The sequence below is a fragment of the Homo sapiens genome, chromosome 1, assembly GCF_000001405.40.
Source record: "Homo sapiens chromosome 1, GRCh38.p14 Primary Assembly".
Lineage (NCBI taxonomy): Eukaryota > Metazoa > Chordata > Mammalia > Primates > Hominidae > Homo > Homo sapiens.
In genome coordinates this window covers 35088585-35105562 of record NC_000001.11, presented here as the reverse complement: position 1 = coordinate 35105562, position 16978 = coordinate 35088585, and the positions used below count along the sequence as shown (strand labels likewise).

At 41.7% G+C, this 16978-nt stretch overlaps 1 protein-coding gene across 19 annotated transcripts in view, besides 1 other annotated feature; it reads right to left on the bottom strand.

Annotated features, from left to right (window-relative positions):
• ZMYM1 (zinc finger MYM-type containing 1) overlaps positions 1-16978 on the bottom strand; it is a 59033-nt gene that overhangs the window by 13256 nt on the left and 28799 nt on the right. For 6 of the 19 annotated variants that reach the window (NM_001289088.2, XM_047430816.1, XM_047430818.1 and 3 more), the window contains 5 exons: positions 11480-11649; positions 9672-9744; positions 7997-8246; positions 1094-1268; positions 794-1006 (listed from right to left, as the gene is read on the bottom strand). In NM_001289088.2, coding sequence (NP_001276017.1) covers positions 794-1006; positions 1094-1268; positions 7997-8246; positions 9672-9744; positions 11480-11575 — 807 coding nt within the window. In that variant the 5' untranslated portion in view covers positions 11576-11649. Of the gene's footprint in view, positions 1-793; positions 1007-1093; positions 1269-5720; positions 5743-6115; positions 8247-9671; positions 9745-11479; positions 11650-12121; positions 12244-16387; positions 16815-16978 lie in introns of those variants that run through there. The other 13 variants (NM_001289090.2, XM_011542166.4, XM_047430814.1 and 10 more) reach the window with 8 other exon arrangements.
• Positions 15342-15842: an enhancer, noted in NCBI's record as "H3K4me1 hESC enhancer chr1:35555322-35555822 (GRCh37/hg19 assembly coordinates)". NCBI's record gives its function as "activates a minimal SCP1, AML or CMV promoter by ChIP-STARR-seq in primed H9 embryonic stem cells {active_cell/tissue: H9 hESC(primed)}" and the evidence as "EXISTENCE:reporter gene assay evidence [ECO:0000049][PMID:30033119]".

Below are 16978 nucleotides of genomic sequence, written 5' to 3'. Positions count from 1 at the left end.
CCTTGGGAGGCTGAGGCAGGAGAATTGCTTGAACCTGGGAGGCGGAGGTTGCAGTGAGCCAAGATTGTGCCACTGCACTCCAGCCTGGGCAAGACAGCGAGACTCCGTCTCAAAAAAAATAAATAAGGTCAGGTGTGGTGGTTCATGCCTGTAATCCCAGCACTTTGGGAGGCCAAGGCAGGTGGATCACGAGGTCAGGAGATTGAGACCATCCTGGCTAACACAGTGAAACCCCATCTCTACTTAAAATACAAAAAATTAGCCAGGCGTGGTGGTGGCGGGTGCTTGTAGTCCCAGCTACTTGGGAGGCCGAGGCAGGAGAATGGCATGAACCCGCGAGGCAGAACTTGCAGTGAGCCGAGATCGCGCCACCGCACTCCAGCCTGGGTGACAGAGGAAGACTCCATCTCACCAAAAAAAAAAAAAAAAAAAAAAAGAAAGAAATAAAATAAATACATAAAAATAAAAACAAAAATACTTTTGTGTTTGGGTTTTATTGACCAGCAGACTATTGTTATTTTTGCTATACTTATTTCTAGTTTATAAACCGGCTCCAGCCTGCCTGCCTTTTCTTTAAGGTGAGATAATCGATCTGAGATTATTTAGGAAAATCTCCATATAGCATTTATCATGAATTCTTATGCAAGAAGAAACCGTTAAAAGCCTTCTATTTCATCTTCATCAACTTATCGACATTATTCCAAAGGGTACCAAAAACTACTTCCCACATTTTCCTAGAGTGAAACCATTCATAGGCCAGTTAATAGAAGAAACAATAGGTCTTTATTCATACCTGCTTATATGCTGTAATACTCTTTGAACTATTAAAGTAATGAGACTGTCCTTCCATCTGAAGTATGTGGGACAGACTAGAGCTGGTGTAACAGTAAGTGCCACAGTTCTCACAGCAGTTCATGATGAAGTTGTTAGCAGAGTGAAACTTTGAAAGGCAGGCATTACTGCAAAGATTATGTTTCACATTTTGGTATTTTACTTCATACTGAATCTAGGATTTAATAAAAAGATTCAGTAAAAACTCTGATATTTAAGCAGAATCATCAGAATCCCTGTAAAGGTTATAATTGGAACTTACAATAGCAGTCTTCTGGCACATGCTGCACTTGGTCAAAATGCTATTAGTACATATGGTAACAAATGGTTTTCTTTTTTCTTCATATGATGAAAGACAAGATAGGCTGCAAAAAGTTTTGCAAGAGGTAGTGTCTTCCAGCTGGACACTAATCACATCCTTTGGATTTAAAATGTCTCTAAGAATAAATAACAAGGACATCATTAAACAGTTTAAACACAATTATAACTTCTCTTTATAAATGAAATGACCTCTCAAATTAGAGTAAGAACATTAGCCTTGAAATAAGAAAACCTGAATTTGGTACCCAGTTCTGTCACATTTATACTCCCTAAATTTTAATTTTCTCATCTATACATTACAGATTATAAAGCACATCTAATAGTGCAGTTTTGTTTTTTAAGAGATAGGGTCTTGCTGTGTTGCCCAAGCTGGCCTCAAATTCCTGGGCTCAAGAGATTCTCCCACCTCAATCTCCCACATAGCTAGGATTACAGGCACATAATCCCACCATGCCTGACTTTGAAGATGTAGTTTTGGAGACTAGCCAGCCTGTATTATTAGGTGGTGCTAGTGAAAACCGAGGGATGATGAGAGATCACATATTCACATGAGCAACTCTAGAATCTATAGGACAGAGAATCTTAAAATATGGTCTTCAAATCCCTGGGGGAGTCCCCAAGATCAAAACTATTTTCATAGTAAGATGTTATTTGCTTTTTCACCGTGTTGATGTTTGCAACATCACTTTGCAACTGATGTTGCAAAGCTAATGGTAGGACCCTGCAATCCCACTCCTTGGTAAACACCCAAAAAAACTGAAAACAGGTACTCAAACAAGCACATGTACGTGCATATTCATAACAGCACTATTCACAATGGTCAAAAGATGAAAACAGCCCAAATGTTCATCAGTAAGTGAATGAATGAATAAGCACATTGTGTTACATACATACAGTGGAATATTATTCGCCTATTAACAAAAAGAATAAAGTACTGATACATGTTACAACATGGACAAACCTTGAAAATATTATGCTAAGGGAAAGAACCAGACACAAAAAGTCACTGCACTCTAGCCTGAGCAACAGAGTAATAATACCCTGTCACAAAAAGGTCATATATGATTCCATTTACATGAGATATTCAGGATAGATAAAATCTATAGATATAATGCATACTGGTGGTTGACAGGCACTGGGGGGAGAGGGAAATTAGGAGAAACTGCTTAGTGTTTAAGGTGTTTTACTTTGAAGTGATGGAAATGTTTTGGAACAAGATAGAGGGGATGGTCACACAACATTATGAATATACTAAATGCCAATGAAATGGTTAATTTCTTGGTATACAAATTTCACTTCAATGAATTTGGAAAAGAAAAAAGGCAATGGTGGGTAAAACCGTCAGAGCCTTAGCAGAAATCAAGGCAGTGGCACCAAAATGTGCTAATATTCATGTTATTCCCTGCTATACATTCACTGCCAAAAAAAATTCTTTTTAAAGTATCAGTTTCACTTAAGGAAGTACTCAATGAAACAGCAAAATATTTTAAATTATTTAAACTTCATCCTTAAGTACATTTAAAAAATATTCTGTCTTGGCCAAGTGGTAGGGTGAGAAAAAAAAATTCCGTGTGACAACACAGGACATAAGCATAAAGTACTTCTGTACACCAAAGGATGATGGTTGTCTCAAGGAAAAGCCCATATGGAAATGTTGAGTTATAAATGAATTAGCCACTTTTTTCATGGAAAACATTTTTACTTGAAAGTACTGTAAACAGTTTACTGTAAATAAAGACAAACTATTATCCAGAAGTGGGTATCTGCAGATATTTTCTTGAAAATGAAAAAAATGAGACTGTCACTTCAAGTAAAACGACAGTATTTATCGCCAACAATAAAATTTTGTCTTTCAAGTGATAATTAGAATTTTGGAAAACTTGTATCTTCCAACTTCAACTTGATCGATACCCAAAACTTAAAAACTTTTCTGAGATTAGTGGTGATTTTTAAAATACTGCATAATAAAATGAGAACATCTAGAAGATCTGCAGAACTCAGTGAACCAGTATTTTCCAAACTACAATAGCATATTACAAAAATCATTCACGGGTAAAAGATCCATTCAAAGTACAAGATAGATTAACGAATTCTAACATAACAGAGTGCAAAAAGTTCACTGATCCACATGGTACAAAAAGTTTGATCCCACATTGCAACTAGCCTTTAAGAAACTACCACTTGATTTTTGGTTGTAGTATCAAAGAACACCCACAACGATCTAAAAGGCTACTAAAACACTCCCCCCTTTTCCAATCACCTATTTATGAGGCCAGGTTTTCTTCAGACTTCAACCAAAACAACACTTTGCAATAAAGTGAAGGCAGAAACAGATACAAAAATCCAGCTAGATGTAAAGTGATTTGCAAAACTGATAAAACAATACTTATCAATTTTTAAAAATATGGGTATTTTTCATTTAAAATGTCATTTAATTTTTGATACAGTTAATATTCATAATCTACATAACTAAAGCTCTTTGGGTGTTCAATAATTTTTAAGGGTACAAGAAGTCCTGAGACCAGAAAGTTTGAGAACAGCCACTATAGAAAATATCAATACACCTAATAGCAGGCGCGGTGGCTCACACCTTTAATCTTGGGAGGCCAAGGTGGGCAGATCACTTGAGGTCAGGAGTTCGAGACTAGCCTGGCCAACCCCGTCTCTACTAAAAATATTTAAAAACATTAGTATTTTGTGATCAATGTTTTGGGAGTTATGAACACGACACTGTAAAATCACAGACCACAGAAGAATTAATTTGGGGGGTGGGCGGTTGTAAGAGGAGAGTGAGGAATGGTGTGGGAATAGACAAAAGGTAAAGATATTTGAGGCATACCTTTCAGACAGAATAAAGATACCAGCCAGATGGGAAGGGAGGAAGAAGAAACTACATCAGCGACGCATGGAAGTCTGAAAATGCTTCTTAGTTTTTATTGCTATCAGCATACTAGATTGCTGGCTTCTAAGAATCTACTAAAGCTTTATAAAAAATTGAAAAATGAATGTTGGCCAGGCACGGTGGCTCACATGTGTAATCCTGGGAGGCTGGGGCAGGCAGATACCTGAGGTCAGGAGTTGGGAGACCAGCCTGGCCAACACGGTGAAACCCCATCTCTACTAAAAATACAAAAATTAACGGGGCATGGTGATAGGCACCTGTAATCCCAGTTACTAGGGAGGCTGAGGCAGAAGAATCGCTTGAACCTGGGAGGCGGAGGTTGCAGTGAGCTGAGATCCCGCTATTGAACTCCAGCCTGGGCAAAACGGTGAGACTCCGCCTCAAAAAAAAAAAAAAAAAGAATGTTGGCTGGGTACGGTGGCTCACGCCCATAATGCCAGCACTTTGGGAGGGCAAGCCAGGAGGATCACTTGAGCCCAGGAGTTCAAGACCAGTCTGGACAACATGGTGAAATCATCTCTACAAAAAAATACAAAAACTGGACAGGCAGGGTGGCATGTGCCTGCAATCCCAGCTACTTGGGAGGGTAAAGGTGGGAGTATTGCTTAAGCCCAGGTGGTCGAGGCTGCAGTGAGCCAAGATGGTGCCACTGCACTCCAACCTGGGTGACAGACAGGGACCTTGTCTCAAAAAAAAAAAAGAAACGCCAACAAATTAGGAACAACTTTCCGATAAATAAATCAAACCTTAGTGCAGGGGCCTATTTTGGACTTTATTGATTGCATTCAGGATTTGCGGTTGGTTCCAACTGAGATACTAAAGTGAAGAAATGACACTTCTTAAATACAAAGTTCCCAAGAACAAGTCACATCTTTTTTTTTTTTTTTGAGACAGGGTCTCACTCCGTTGCCCAGGCTGGAGTGCAGTCGTACAATCTCAGCTCACTGCAACCTCCGTCTCCTGGGTTCAAGCAATTCTCCTGCCTCAGTCACTGGTGTAGCTGGGTTTACAGGCACACACCACCACGCCTGGCTAATTTTTATATTTTTAGTAGAGACAGGGATTTGTGGTGTTGGCTAGACTGGTCTCGAACTCCTGACCTCCAGTGATTCTCCTGCCTTGGCCTCCCAAAGTGCTGGGATTACAGGTGTGAACCACCTCGCTTGGCCCACAAATCGCATCTTTCTAATAAGATTTAAAATGTCATCTTCAAAGGGATCTTCCATTTGGTCCATGAAATAGAATAAAAAGTGCATTGACTCAAAACAGATATTAAATCATTCCTATAAAAGAAATCTTAAAAAGTAACTAAAAATCAGGCAGGGCGTGGTGGCTCATACCTATAATCCCAGCACTTTGGGAGGCCGAGGAAAGCAGATCACCTGAGGTCCGGAGTTCGAGACCAGCCTGGCCAACATGGCGAAACTGCATCTCTACTGAAAATAAAAAAACTAGCTGGGCACAGTGGCACACGCCTGTAATCCCAGCTACTTGGGAGGCTGAGGCAGGAGAATTGCTTGAACCCAGGAGGTGGAGGTTGCAGTAAGCCAAGATTGCACCATTGCACTCTGGCCTGGGTGACAGATTGAGACGAGACTCCGTCTCAGACAAAACAAAACAAAACAAACAAACAAACAAAACTGAAAATCAGCACGGTGGCTCACACCTGTAATCCCGGCACTTTGGGAGACCAAGGCAGGAGGATCACTTGAACTCAGGAGTTTAAGATCAGCCTGGGAAACATAGTGACTCTGTCTCTGCAAAAATAAATAAATAAGTAACTGAAAATTATTTTCAGTTCAGGATAGTTTCACTGGAAGATAAAAAAACCCCAGAAGAATAGCTAAAATTTATGTAAAAGGCTAATTAATGTGGAATTTTTAAGTTTTGAAAAAAGCAGCCTACTCTGAATCATGGATGGCCTTTTCCAGCCTAAAATTTACTACCATCTTTCTACCCACTACAATATAATATTTTTTATAAAAAAATTTTATTCTAGAGGAAGTAAAACTTATCTCAGATTTTTACTCATATTGGATTTCCATGCCTAGGAGAACTTACACACTAAATCTTTCCTGCTTCAGCCTTTTTCAATCTGTCTGGGACATCTGCTGAAGATGTGTAGTGAGTCTCTAAGGTCCCTTCCAGTTTTATGACTCTGCAGGGAGAGAAAGCAGGCTGAAGAGAGTACTATATGGCCCATAGCAAAAAAGTAAAAAGACAAAAGACTAGTATAGTATTGAAGGGTTGAAAAGCAAAAGAGAATGGTAAGTAACGTGCCATGGAATAAGACCTGAAGCAACAGATAATAACTGAAGCAGCAGCCAGAGGAGCTGAAGCAAACCCATCAAAAGGGTTTGTGAGTTTGTTAAGAGAATAATAATAGTTAACATTTATTGAGTTCTTACTACATGCTGGTATTGTTCTGACCACTTAAATATACTATTTAATGCTCATAATTCTTTTGTACATTTATCAAAAACAGATACGAATACTAAGTAACAAAGAAGTTCTCAATACTGCTCCAACTTTAGCATGTATAGGAATCACATGGCGATAAATGCAGTTCTGAATCAGCAGGTCTGGGTAAGACCTGAGAAAGTGCATTTCTTTTTTTTTCTTTTTGAGACAGTCAGTGCAGTGGCCTGATCTCAGCTTACTGCAACTTTAGCCTCCCGGGTTCAAGCAATTGTCCTGCTTCAGCCTCCCAAGTAGCTGGGATTACAGGTGCATGCCACAGTGCTCAGCTAATTTTTTTGTATTTTAGTAGAGACAGGGTTTCACTGTGTTGCCAGGCTGGTCTCAAACTCCTGAGCTCAGGCATTCTGCCCACCTCGGCCTCCCTAAGTGCTAGGATAACAGGCGTGAGCCACTGCTCCCAGCCTGAGAAAGTGCATTTCTAACAAACTCTTGGGTGATGCTGATCTAGCAACTCAGGGATGAAACTTTGAGTAGTAAAATATAACTAAACAGAAGAAGCAAAATTCAAATTATGGCAACCTGAGTCCAAAACAAGTATTATTTGAAAGAAATTTGTTATATTTAGAAGCACTGTGGTTGCCTATGGATTTTCTTGTTCTGAACAAGAACATTTAAAAATTAGCATATCCTAAGTGCTAACAACCATAATTATACAGCCTTAGGACTCTCAAAGCCAAAATGACACTGATTCTTCACACATTCTCACATAAATTTTTAAAAGATTACATAGAGACATGTAGGTTTATCTATGGCCATCAATTTTTCAAAAGAATCACTTCATTTACCATTATAAAAGAAATATAATATTATTCCACATCTTGGAAAATCCAAACTAACTGTCATAGGATTAATTTTTTAGTAGGTTGCTCCCTATACAGTTAAATAGAACAGAATGGATAAACAATAATCCCATTTACAGAGAATTTCAAATGAAAAGAGTAAAGGTGAAGAGAAACAGTACTTTTCACATTAATTTCTGCAAAAAAAAATATTTCTACAGAATCCATCAGAGGAACTAAAAGTAGAAAAAACTTCTTTTTACTAAACCAAGACGACACGTCTTCAAAAGAAATGAAAATGGCCGGGCGCAGTGACTCACACCTGTAATCCCAGCACTTTGGGAGGCCAAGGCAAGCGGATCACCTGAGGTCAGGAGTTCAAGACCAGCGTGGCCAACATGGCGAACGAAACCCCATCTCTACTAAAAAATACAAAATTAGCCGGGCGTGGTGGTGCATGGCTGTAATCCCAGCTACTTGGGAGGCTGAGGCAGGAGAATCGCTTGAACCCAGGAGGTGGAAGTTGCAGTGAGCCGAGATCGTGCCACTGCACTCCAGCCTGGGCAACAAGAGTCAAACTCAGTCTCAAAAAATAAAAAAAGAAAATGTAGAAATTACAACTAAGACTATGATCAAGAACAAGGTAGGGAAATAAAAGGGGGCATAATTTAGAATTATATACTTTGAGCAGTTTGAACAAGTTCTCTTAGAAGGAACTGGTGAACTGGCAGATGAAATGTATTCAGTGATGCATGGTATGGAGCAGAAAAGTTGAGCAGATCCTTTCCTCTGATAAGCAGTTTGCCCCTTCTGGAGAATTTTTTTACAACCAGCACAGGAAACCTGAATAGCTGTGGTTGAAACTGAAGGAAGCATTTTATTCACGCCAGATGATGCCAGAGAAAGCTGAATGCCTGCAGTCAACTGTGAAGCTATAAAAACACAAGAGGGAGAAAAAAAAATTGTTATTTACACAAAATTAAGTAGGCATTCCTTTATTTTCTTTCTTTCTTTTTTTAGAGACAGGGTCTTGTTCTGTTGCCCTCTTTTGCACTCTAGGCAGTGTAGTGATACGATCATGGCTCACTGCAGCCTTGACACCCTGTACTCAAGTGACCCTCTCACCACCTGGTGCGGTGGCTCACGCCTGTAATCCCAGCACTTTGGGAGGCCAAGGCAGGTGGATCACCTGAGGTCAGAGTTCAAGACCAGCTTGGCCAACATGGTGAAACCCCATCTCAATTAAAAATACAAAATTAGCCAGGTGTGGTGGCTAACGCCTGTAATCCCAGCATTTTGGGAGGCAAGGTGGGTGGATCACGAGTTTAAGAGATTGAGACCATCCCGGGCAATATGGTGAAACCCCGTCTCTACTATAAAAATTAGCTGGGCATGGTGACACATGCCTGTAGTCCCAGCTACTCGGGAGGCTGAGGCAGGAGAATCGCTTGAACCTGAGAGGTGGAGGCTGCAGTGAGGCGAGATCATGCACTGCCCTCCAGCCTGGCAACAGAGCGAGAGCGAGACTCCGTCTCAAAACAAACAAAATTATCTGGGTGTGGTGGCACGGGCCTGTGATCCTAGTTACTTGGGAGGCTGAGGCAGGAGCACTGCTTGAACCTGGGTGGCAGAGGTTGCAGTGAGCCAAGATCGTGCCATTGCACTCCAGCCTGGGCAACAAGAGCGGAAACTCCATCTCAGAAAAAAAAAAAAAACCTCCCGCCTCAGCCTCCCAAGTAGCTGGGACTATAGGCATGCACCACCACACCTGGTTTTTAAATTTTCTGTAGAGACAGGATCTCGCTATGTTGCCCAGGCTGGTCTCAAACTCCTGCCCTCAAGCTGATCCTTCCACCTTGGCCTCCCAAAATGTTGGGATTACAGGCATGAGGCACCATGCCCAGCCTCTTTGATTTTCTTCTCTTTTTTTTTTTTTTTAGACAGAGTCTCGCTCTGTTGCCCAGGCTGGAGTGCAGTGGTGCAATCTTGGCTCACCACAACCTCTGCCTCCCAGGTTCAAGCAAATCTCCTGCCTCAGCCTCCTGAGTAGCTGGGATTACAGGCATGCGCCACCACGCCTGGCTAATTTTGTATTTGTAGTAGAGACAGGGTTTCACTATGTTGGCCAAACTGGTCTCGAATTCCTGACCTCATGATCCGCCTGCCTCGGCCTCCCAAAGTGCTGGGATTACAGGTGTGAGCCACTGTGCACGGCCTCTCTTTCATTTTCTTACAGGTTACTTCTCCTGGACTTAAAACCCAACACAAACAAAGCAATATTCAAAGGCATTAAAAAAGAATGAATCAGCTGTCGTATTGGTCTGAATAAACATAACTAACTTAAATAATTCTATTACCACTCTCTGAAAACACAGCATTTATTTTCAGTTCATTCTCCTGAGTTCTGGACTGTTGCCTATGACAATACTCCTAAAAAGAAAAAAAAAATAATAATTAAAAATAGTGAATACAATGAATTTAAGACAACCAGTCATTCAACAGAAAATGATAAATTGTGGTCAAGTCTGGTCAATGAATTGTATAACTGAATTGAACCAAAATACACAGGTATGCACTACCCTTTTGGTGCTCTTTGGCTGACAACACTAATCACCCAATACATTATTTTCTATGGTATCCAGGTGTGACATCAAAATCTTTGTCAACAAAATCCCTCCATTCACTATCAATAGGGAGCAGACATATTGAATTACAACTATTTTCCCTACTTGTTTTTTTTTTTTTTTCTTTTTTTTTTGAGACAAGATCTCACTCTGTCACCCAGGCTGGAGTACAGTGACGCGATCTCGTCTCACTATAACCTACTTCTGGGTTCAAGTGATTCTTCTGCCTCAGCCTCCCAAGTAGCTGAGACTACAGGCACATGCCTCCATGCCCGGCTAATTTTTTAATTTTTAGTGGAGATGTTGCCCATGGTCTTGAACTCCTGGCCTCAAGTGATCTGCCTGTCTCACCCTCCCAAAATGCTGGGATTACAGGAATGAGCCACCACACCCAGCCTTCCCTGCTTGCTCTAATCATTAACAGCTAATTGTCTTCATAAAGACCTTAACCCAAGAAATTGTTAATTGGGCAGAATGATTCTTACAAAGGACAATTTTTTCAGAGCAGGAGGCAATTTCATAGCCACCATATCTAAACTTGATCTATGCCTGAATGTCCATGGCATGAAGAAGCAATAGATAGTTCCTAGATGAGTAACATTCCCCAGTGTTAACAACTCAATGGTAAGCATACCCTTATTTAATATTAATCTACTTTAGGCTATTTCTAAATAGAATACTACAAATAAATTACCCTTTTTAGTGATTTTTTTCTTTCATTAGAACTTTCAGCTGGTTCACAGTTCATATACAAACATTCCTTTTTTTTGTTTTAAGAGACAGGGTCTCGCTTCGTTACCCAGGCTGGAGTGCAATGGCACAATCATAGCTCATTGCTTCCTTGAATTCCTGGGCTCAAGCGATCCTCCTGTTGTAGCCTCTGAAGTAGCTGAGACTACAGGCGTGCACCACTATGCCTGGCTAATTTTTGTATTTTTTATAGAGACAAGGTCTTGTCATCCAGTTGGTCTCAAACTCTTGGGCTCAGGTGATCCTCCCACCTTGGCCTCCCAAAGTTCTGGGATTACAGGTGTGAGCCACTGTGCCTGGCCATATATACAAACATTCTAAGGAATGTTTTCCCTACTTAAACAATACTCACAGTTCAAGTCAGTTCATCCTTTATAGGTTCTTTAGTGATATGTCTAAAAAAATTTTTTTTAATTTACATAAATTAATTTAGATTAAAAAATGTAATTTGTATTAAGTTAAGAAAAACAAAAACAAAATGTGTTAACCTTCTCTGGAAGTAGAATCTGGCAAAAGAAAAAAAGTGTTAACCTTAGCTAGGCCCACAACACCCTAAACAATCCTTTTACCTATGCAAAAACCCAATTCCAAACAGTCTAATCTTTCCTCAAATAATTTTCTTACATATACTTGTAGTGGCACTTAACACCATATACCTTGTATTATTTAATTAACTGCTTTGGAGGAGATAAGGATTTGAGTTTTTCAATGAATCATTTCAGCACCTTTGTAACTAAAATTTATAGTTAAATGCTGCTCTAGAAATAATGGAAATAAGGGAAAATATTTACTTGAGCATTGTCGGGTTCTGTCTTAATTTCATCTAGCAGCCCCAGCTGTGATGCCACTGCCTTGTCACACTCACCACCTAAAAGTGGTTCTTTCATTTTAGTATCTGATGCAAAGGAATTCTCCAGTTCCAAACTAATGGGTTTCTTCCTGAAGAACAGTTTCCAGATTCCTAAAATAAAATATTGATAAAGAGTTTGATTTTAAAATTAGTCCTTTTAAATATGGTAATTTTCTAGAACCACAAAAGGGTCTTTAGACAGCTTGGCATCAAGGTTCCTTCATTGAAAGAACACTGGCTTCTTTCCTTTCATCCATTATTCTTCAATATAGTTTTGCTCTATACTTCTCTGGTAGCTACTACCAACTCTGTGCCTTCTTCTGGAAATAGTCTCCGTTTCTGTTCCCCCAAGACTGAATGCAGCATAAAACCACCAAAACTTACAAGTTTATTTTTAACTTTTCAATAGGAGAAAATGTAAAGCTTTCGGCCAGGGTCGGTGGCTCACGCCTGTAAACCCAGCACTTTGGGAGGCCAAGGCGGGCAGATCACTTGAGGTCAGGAGTTTGAGACCAGCCTGGCCAACATGGTGAAACCCCATCTCTACTAATACAAAAATTAGCCGGGTTGTGGTGGCACATACCTGTAATCCCAGCTACTCGGGAGGCTGAGGCACGAGAATCGCTTGAACCTGGGAGGTGGAGGTCGCAGTGAATGGACATTGAGCCACTGCACTCCAGCCTGGGTGACAGAGTGAGACTGTGTCTCAACAAACAAACAAACAAACAAAAAAGAAATGTAAAGCTTTCTATCTGAGGTTAACCCAATCTGTACTCACTACCCCTCTCTGCCCTCCAGTTATCCTTCTCATTTGCTTCTTCAGTTCCTCTTCCCCTCCTATTGATTCCAGGATATAAGCATTTAAATACATTCTAGAATCTAAAGCTATCCGCCCTCTCTCTGACCACCCCTTTCCCCATTCTTGAAATTTCTTTCATTTTTCTTACTCCGAGGTCTTTTACCTCTTTGCCAGTATTTCTCACAAATACTTATTTTACCTGCTTCTAAAATGTTTGTGTTCCACAAAAACACAATTCCCCAGTACTCTCCTTGCCTGCTCTATGATCTTGAACTCCTGGCTTTAAAAAAATAACGAAGTTGGCTGGGCACAGTGGCTCACGCCTGTAATCCCAACACTCTGGGAGGCTGAGGTGGGTGGAGCACGTGAGATCAGGAGTTTGAGACCAGTCTGGTCAACATGCTGAAATCCCATCTCTACTAAAAATACAAAAAATTAGGCTTGGTGGCATGCGCTGGTAATCCCAGCTACTCGGTAGGCTGAGGCAGGAGAATAGCTTGAACCCGGGAGGCAGAGGTTGCAGTGGGCCAAGATCGCGCCATTGCACTCCAGCCTGGGTGACAGAGCGAGACTCTGTCAAGAAAGAAAAGAAAAGGAAAAGAAAGGAAAGAAAGAAAGAAAGGAAGGTAGGAAAGAAAGAAAAGAAAGAAAGAAAAGGAAAAGAAAAGAAAAGAAAAGACCTGTTGGCCGGGCACAGTGGTTCATGCCTGTAATCCCAGCACTTTGGGAGGCCAAGACGGGTGGATCACCTGAGGTCAGGAGTTTGAGACTAGCCTGGCAAACAAGGCGAAACCCCGTCTCTACTAAAAATACAAAAAAAAAAAAATCAACCGAGTGTGGTGGTGTGTGCCTGTGATCTCAGCTACTCAGGAAGCTAAGGCAGGAGAATCACTTCAACCCAGGAGGCGGAGGCTGCAGTGAACTGAGATCGCACCACTGCACTCCAGCCTGGGAAACAGAGCGAGATTCTGTCTCAAACAAACAAAAAAACGAAGTCTTTGGCCGGGCGCAGTGGCTCATGCCTGTAATCCCAGCACTTTGGGAGGCCGAGGCAGGTAGATCACCTGAGGTGAGGAGTTCGAGACCAGCCTGGCCAACATGGCAAAACCCTGTCTCTACTAAAAATACAAAAATTAGCTGGGCATGGTGGCAGGTGCCTGTAATCCCAGCTACTCTGGAGGCTGAGGCAGGAGAATCACTTGAAAACGGGAGGCAGAGGTTGCAGTCAGCCAAGATTGTGCCATTGCACTCCAGCCTGGGAGACAGAGCGAGACTCCATCTCAAAACAAAACAAACAAAAACCAAGTCTTTTTCTCTTTTTTTTTTTTTTTTTTTTTTGAGACAAGATCTCGCTCTGTCACTCAGGCAGTGGCACTATCTCAGTTCACTGCAGCCTCACCCTCCTGGGATCAAGCAATTCTCCCACCTTAGTCTCCCACGTAGCTGGGACCACAGGCATGTGCCACAGTGCCCAGGTAATTTTTTTTTTTTTTTGTAGAGAAGGTGTTTCCCTATGTTGCCCAGACTGATCTCGAACTCCTGGGCTCAAGTGATCCTCTCACCTCAGCCTCCCAAAGTGCTTCAACGACAGGTGTCCATCTGCTCCCAGCCTATGATCACAACCTCAGATTCAACTATCACCTATGGGCTGTTTTTCCCCAACATTCCTGAGCTGTGGCCCATATACCTAATTGCCTATTAAATATCTCCACTTGGCCGGGGCAGTGGCTCACGCCTGTAATCCCAGCACTTTGGGAGGCTGAGGCGGGTGGATCATGAGGTCAGGAGATCAAGATCATCCTGGCTAACACGGTGAAACCCCGTCTCTACTAAAAATACAAAAAAGATTAGCCAGGCGTGGTGGCAGGCACCTGTAGACCCAGCTACTGGGAGGCTGAGGCAGGAGAATGGTGTGAACCCGGGAGACGGAGCTTGCAGTGAGCCGAGATCGCGCCACTGCACTCCAGCCTGGGAGACTCCGTCTCAAAATAAATAAATAAATAAATAAATATCTCCACTTGAATGTTCCACAGGTCCCTCAAACTCAAGGGATTTGAACTCTGGTCTCAAGCAATCCTCTTGCCTCAGTAAAACTATATTCTTTTATTACCCCCACAAACCTGTTTTACAGATATTCCTTTTTTTTGGTAAATAGCAGTGTCATATACCTAATTTCCCATGCCAGAAATCTAGGATTAACCTGGAATTATTCTTCTTCTCCCTAAATCTAATTATGAAATTAGATCAATCTACCTTTTAATTAAGTCTTTTTTTTTTTGAGACAAGAGTTTTGCTCTCGTTGCCCAGGATGGAGTGCAATGGCGCGATCTCAGCTCACTGCAACCACAGCCTCCCAAGTTCAAGTGATTCTCCTGCCTCAGCCTCCCGAGTAGCTGGGATTACAGGCATGTGCCATCACGCCTGGCTAATTTTGTATTTTTAGTAGAGACAGGGTTTCTCCATGTTGGTCAGGCTGGTCTCGAACTCCCAACCTCAGGTGATCCGCCCACCTCGGCCTCCCAAAGTGCTGGGATTACAGGTGTGAGCCACCACACCCAGTCAAATAAGTCTTAAGTCTATTTTCCCATCACACATGCCTGCCTGCTTCTCCTCACTATCCAAATCAATAGATTCCTTTTTGGTCAATCTTACAACTTTTGAGGAACTACGAAAGCAAGGTCTCTTTTTCTTTTTTCATTAAAGTTCTGGGGTGTATGTGCAGAACGTGCAGTTTTGTTATATAGGTATACACATGCCATGGTGGTTTGCTGCACCCATCAACCTGTCACCTATATTAGGTATAGCTTCTAATGCTATCCCTCCCAGCAAGGTCTCTTTTTCAAAGACAGATTGGTTCCTTCTTTTCTCCTTTTTCCTTGACTGAGGCCTACTTTCCACTTATCTGGTAGCTGTTACCTCTGATTCTAAATCCTTTGGAACCCTTTCCCTTCCTGCCACCCTAGCTTGGCTTCAGAGTGCAAGTCTTCCTGTCTCCTAGATCCTTAAAAAAGAGCCTTATAGGCCAGGCTCGGTGGCTCACGCCTGTAATCCCAGCACTTGGGGAGGCCGAGGTGGGTGGATCACGAGGTCAGGAGATCGAGGCCATCCTGGCTAACATGGTGAAACCCCATCTCTACTAAAAATACAAAAAAATTAGCCGGGCGTGGTGGCAGGTGTCTGTAGTCCCAGCTACTCTGGGAGGCTGAGGCAGGAGAATGGCATGAGCCCGGGAGGCGGAGCTTGCAGTGAGCCGAGATCGCGCCACTACACTCCAGCCTGGGCGACAGAGCGAGACTCTGTCTCAAAAAAAAAAAAAAAAGAGCCTTATATCGGGCACCTGTAGTCCCAGCTACTCGGGAGGCTGAGGCAGGAGAATGGCGTGAACCTGGGAGGCAGACCTTGCAGTGAACCAAGATCATGCCACTGCACTCCAGTCTGGGTGACAGAACAAGACTCCATCTCAAAAAAAAAAAAAAAAAAAAAAAAAGCCTTACAACTAATCATTATGGAGGGCAGATGATAACTAACACAAATGTGGAGAAGTTGAAGTTGTTACAGGATCACTTAGAATAATGGGCTCAAAAAAAGAAAAAAATAACAAAAAACCTCTTACAGGAGTAATTCCAGGACTATGGTTTTATTCTGGGTTAGTACATGAAAGACCCAAGTAATTCTGCCATTATTTTTTATTTCTGTGATTGGGGCTCAACCACCTTCCCTCATTTCCATCTTTAGCTCAGCTTTTGTTGAAAGTTCCTATCCCAATGCAGAAAGTTAAATAAGGCCTGAGAGTCAAGTGCAATAAATAGCTCATACAGCCTCTGTCCAGCCCATTTGAGCATTATACACAAACAGTAAAGCAAAACTCACTAAAAATTAACTATTTGTCATTAGGTAGATTCCCTTCACCTGAAAGTACACATGCCATGCAAGTCTTAAACATCAATTAAAAACAAAGCACCGAGTTTTGTGCAGTGGCGGTATCACAGCCAATGAGGTTTACGTGAGGTACAATTATTGTTATTCGTAAGATAAAACAAAACAAAGTACCTATGAGCTTTGGCATCTTGCAACTCCTTCAAATGTGTCACCATACAAACATAAAAATAGTGGAGGCTGGGCGCAGTGGCTCATGCCTGAAATCCCTGCGCTCTGGGAGGCTGAGGTGGGTGGATGAGGAGGTCGGGAGTTCAAGACCAGCCTGGCCAACACAGTGAAACCCCATCTCCACTAAAAAATACAAAAAATTAGCCGGGCGTGGTGGTGGGCGCCTGTAATCCCAGCTACTCGGAAGGCTGAGACAGTAGAATTGCTTGAATCTGGGAGGCAGAGGTTGCAGTGAGCCGAGATCATGCCATTGCACTCCAGCTCAGGCAAGAGTGTGAGACTCTGTCTCAAAAACAAAAAAAAAAAAAAAAAAGGAAAGCATCCTGAAAATTTCTGAGGCAAGGGAAAATGCTATGCAACATTTGTTTGGCTATAAGAAGAGCAAAACATGTATTAGTGACAGATCCATTACTTCCTTTTCCAACAAGATGCACATTAGAGTAAAATAAGTCCTACAGACTTTCTTTTAATATAGCCCTACTCATCTTTCCAAACTAGGGCTAAATCATAGTATGAAAGAGTACAGGTATTAAT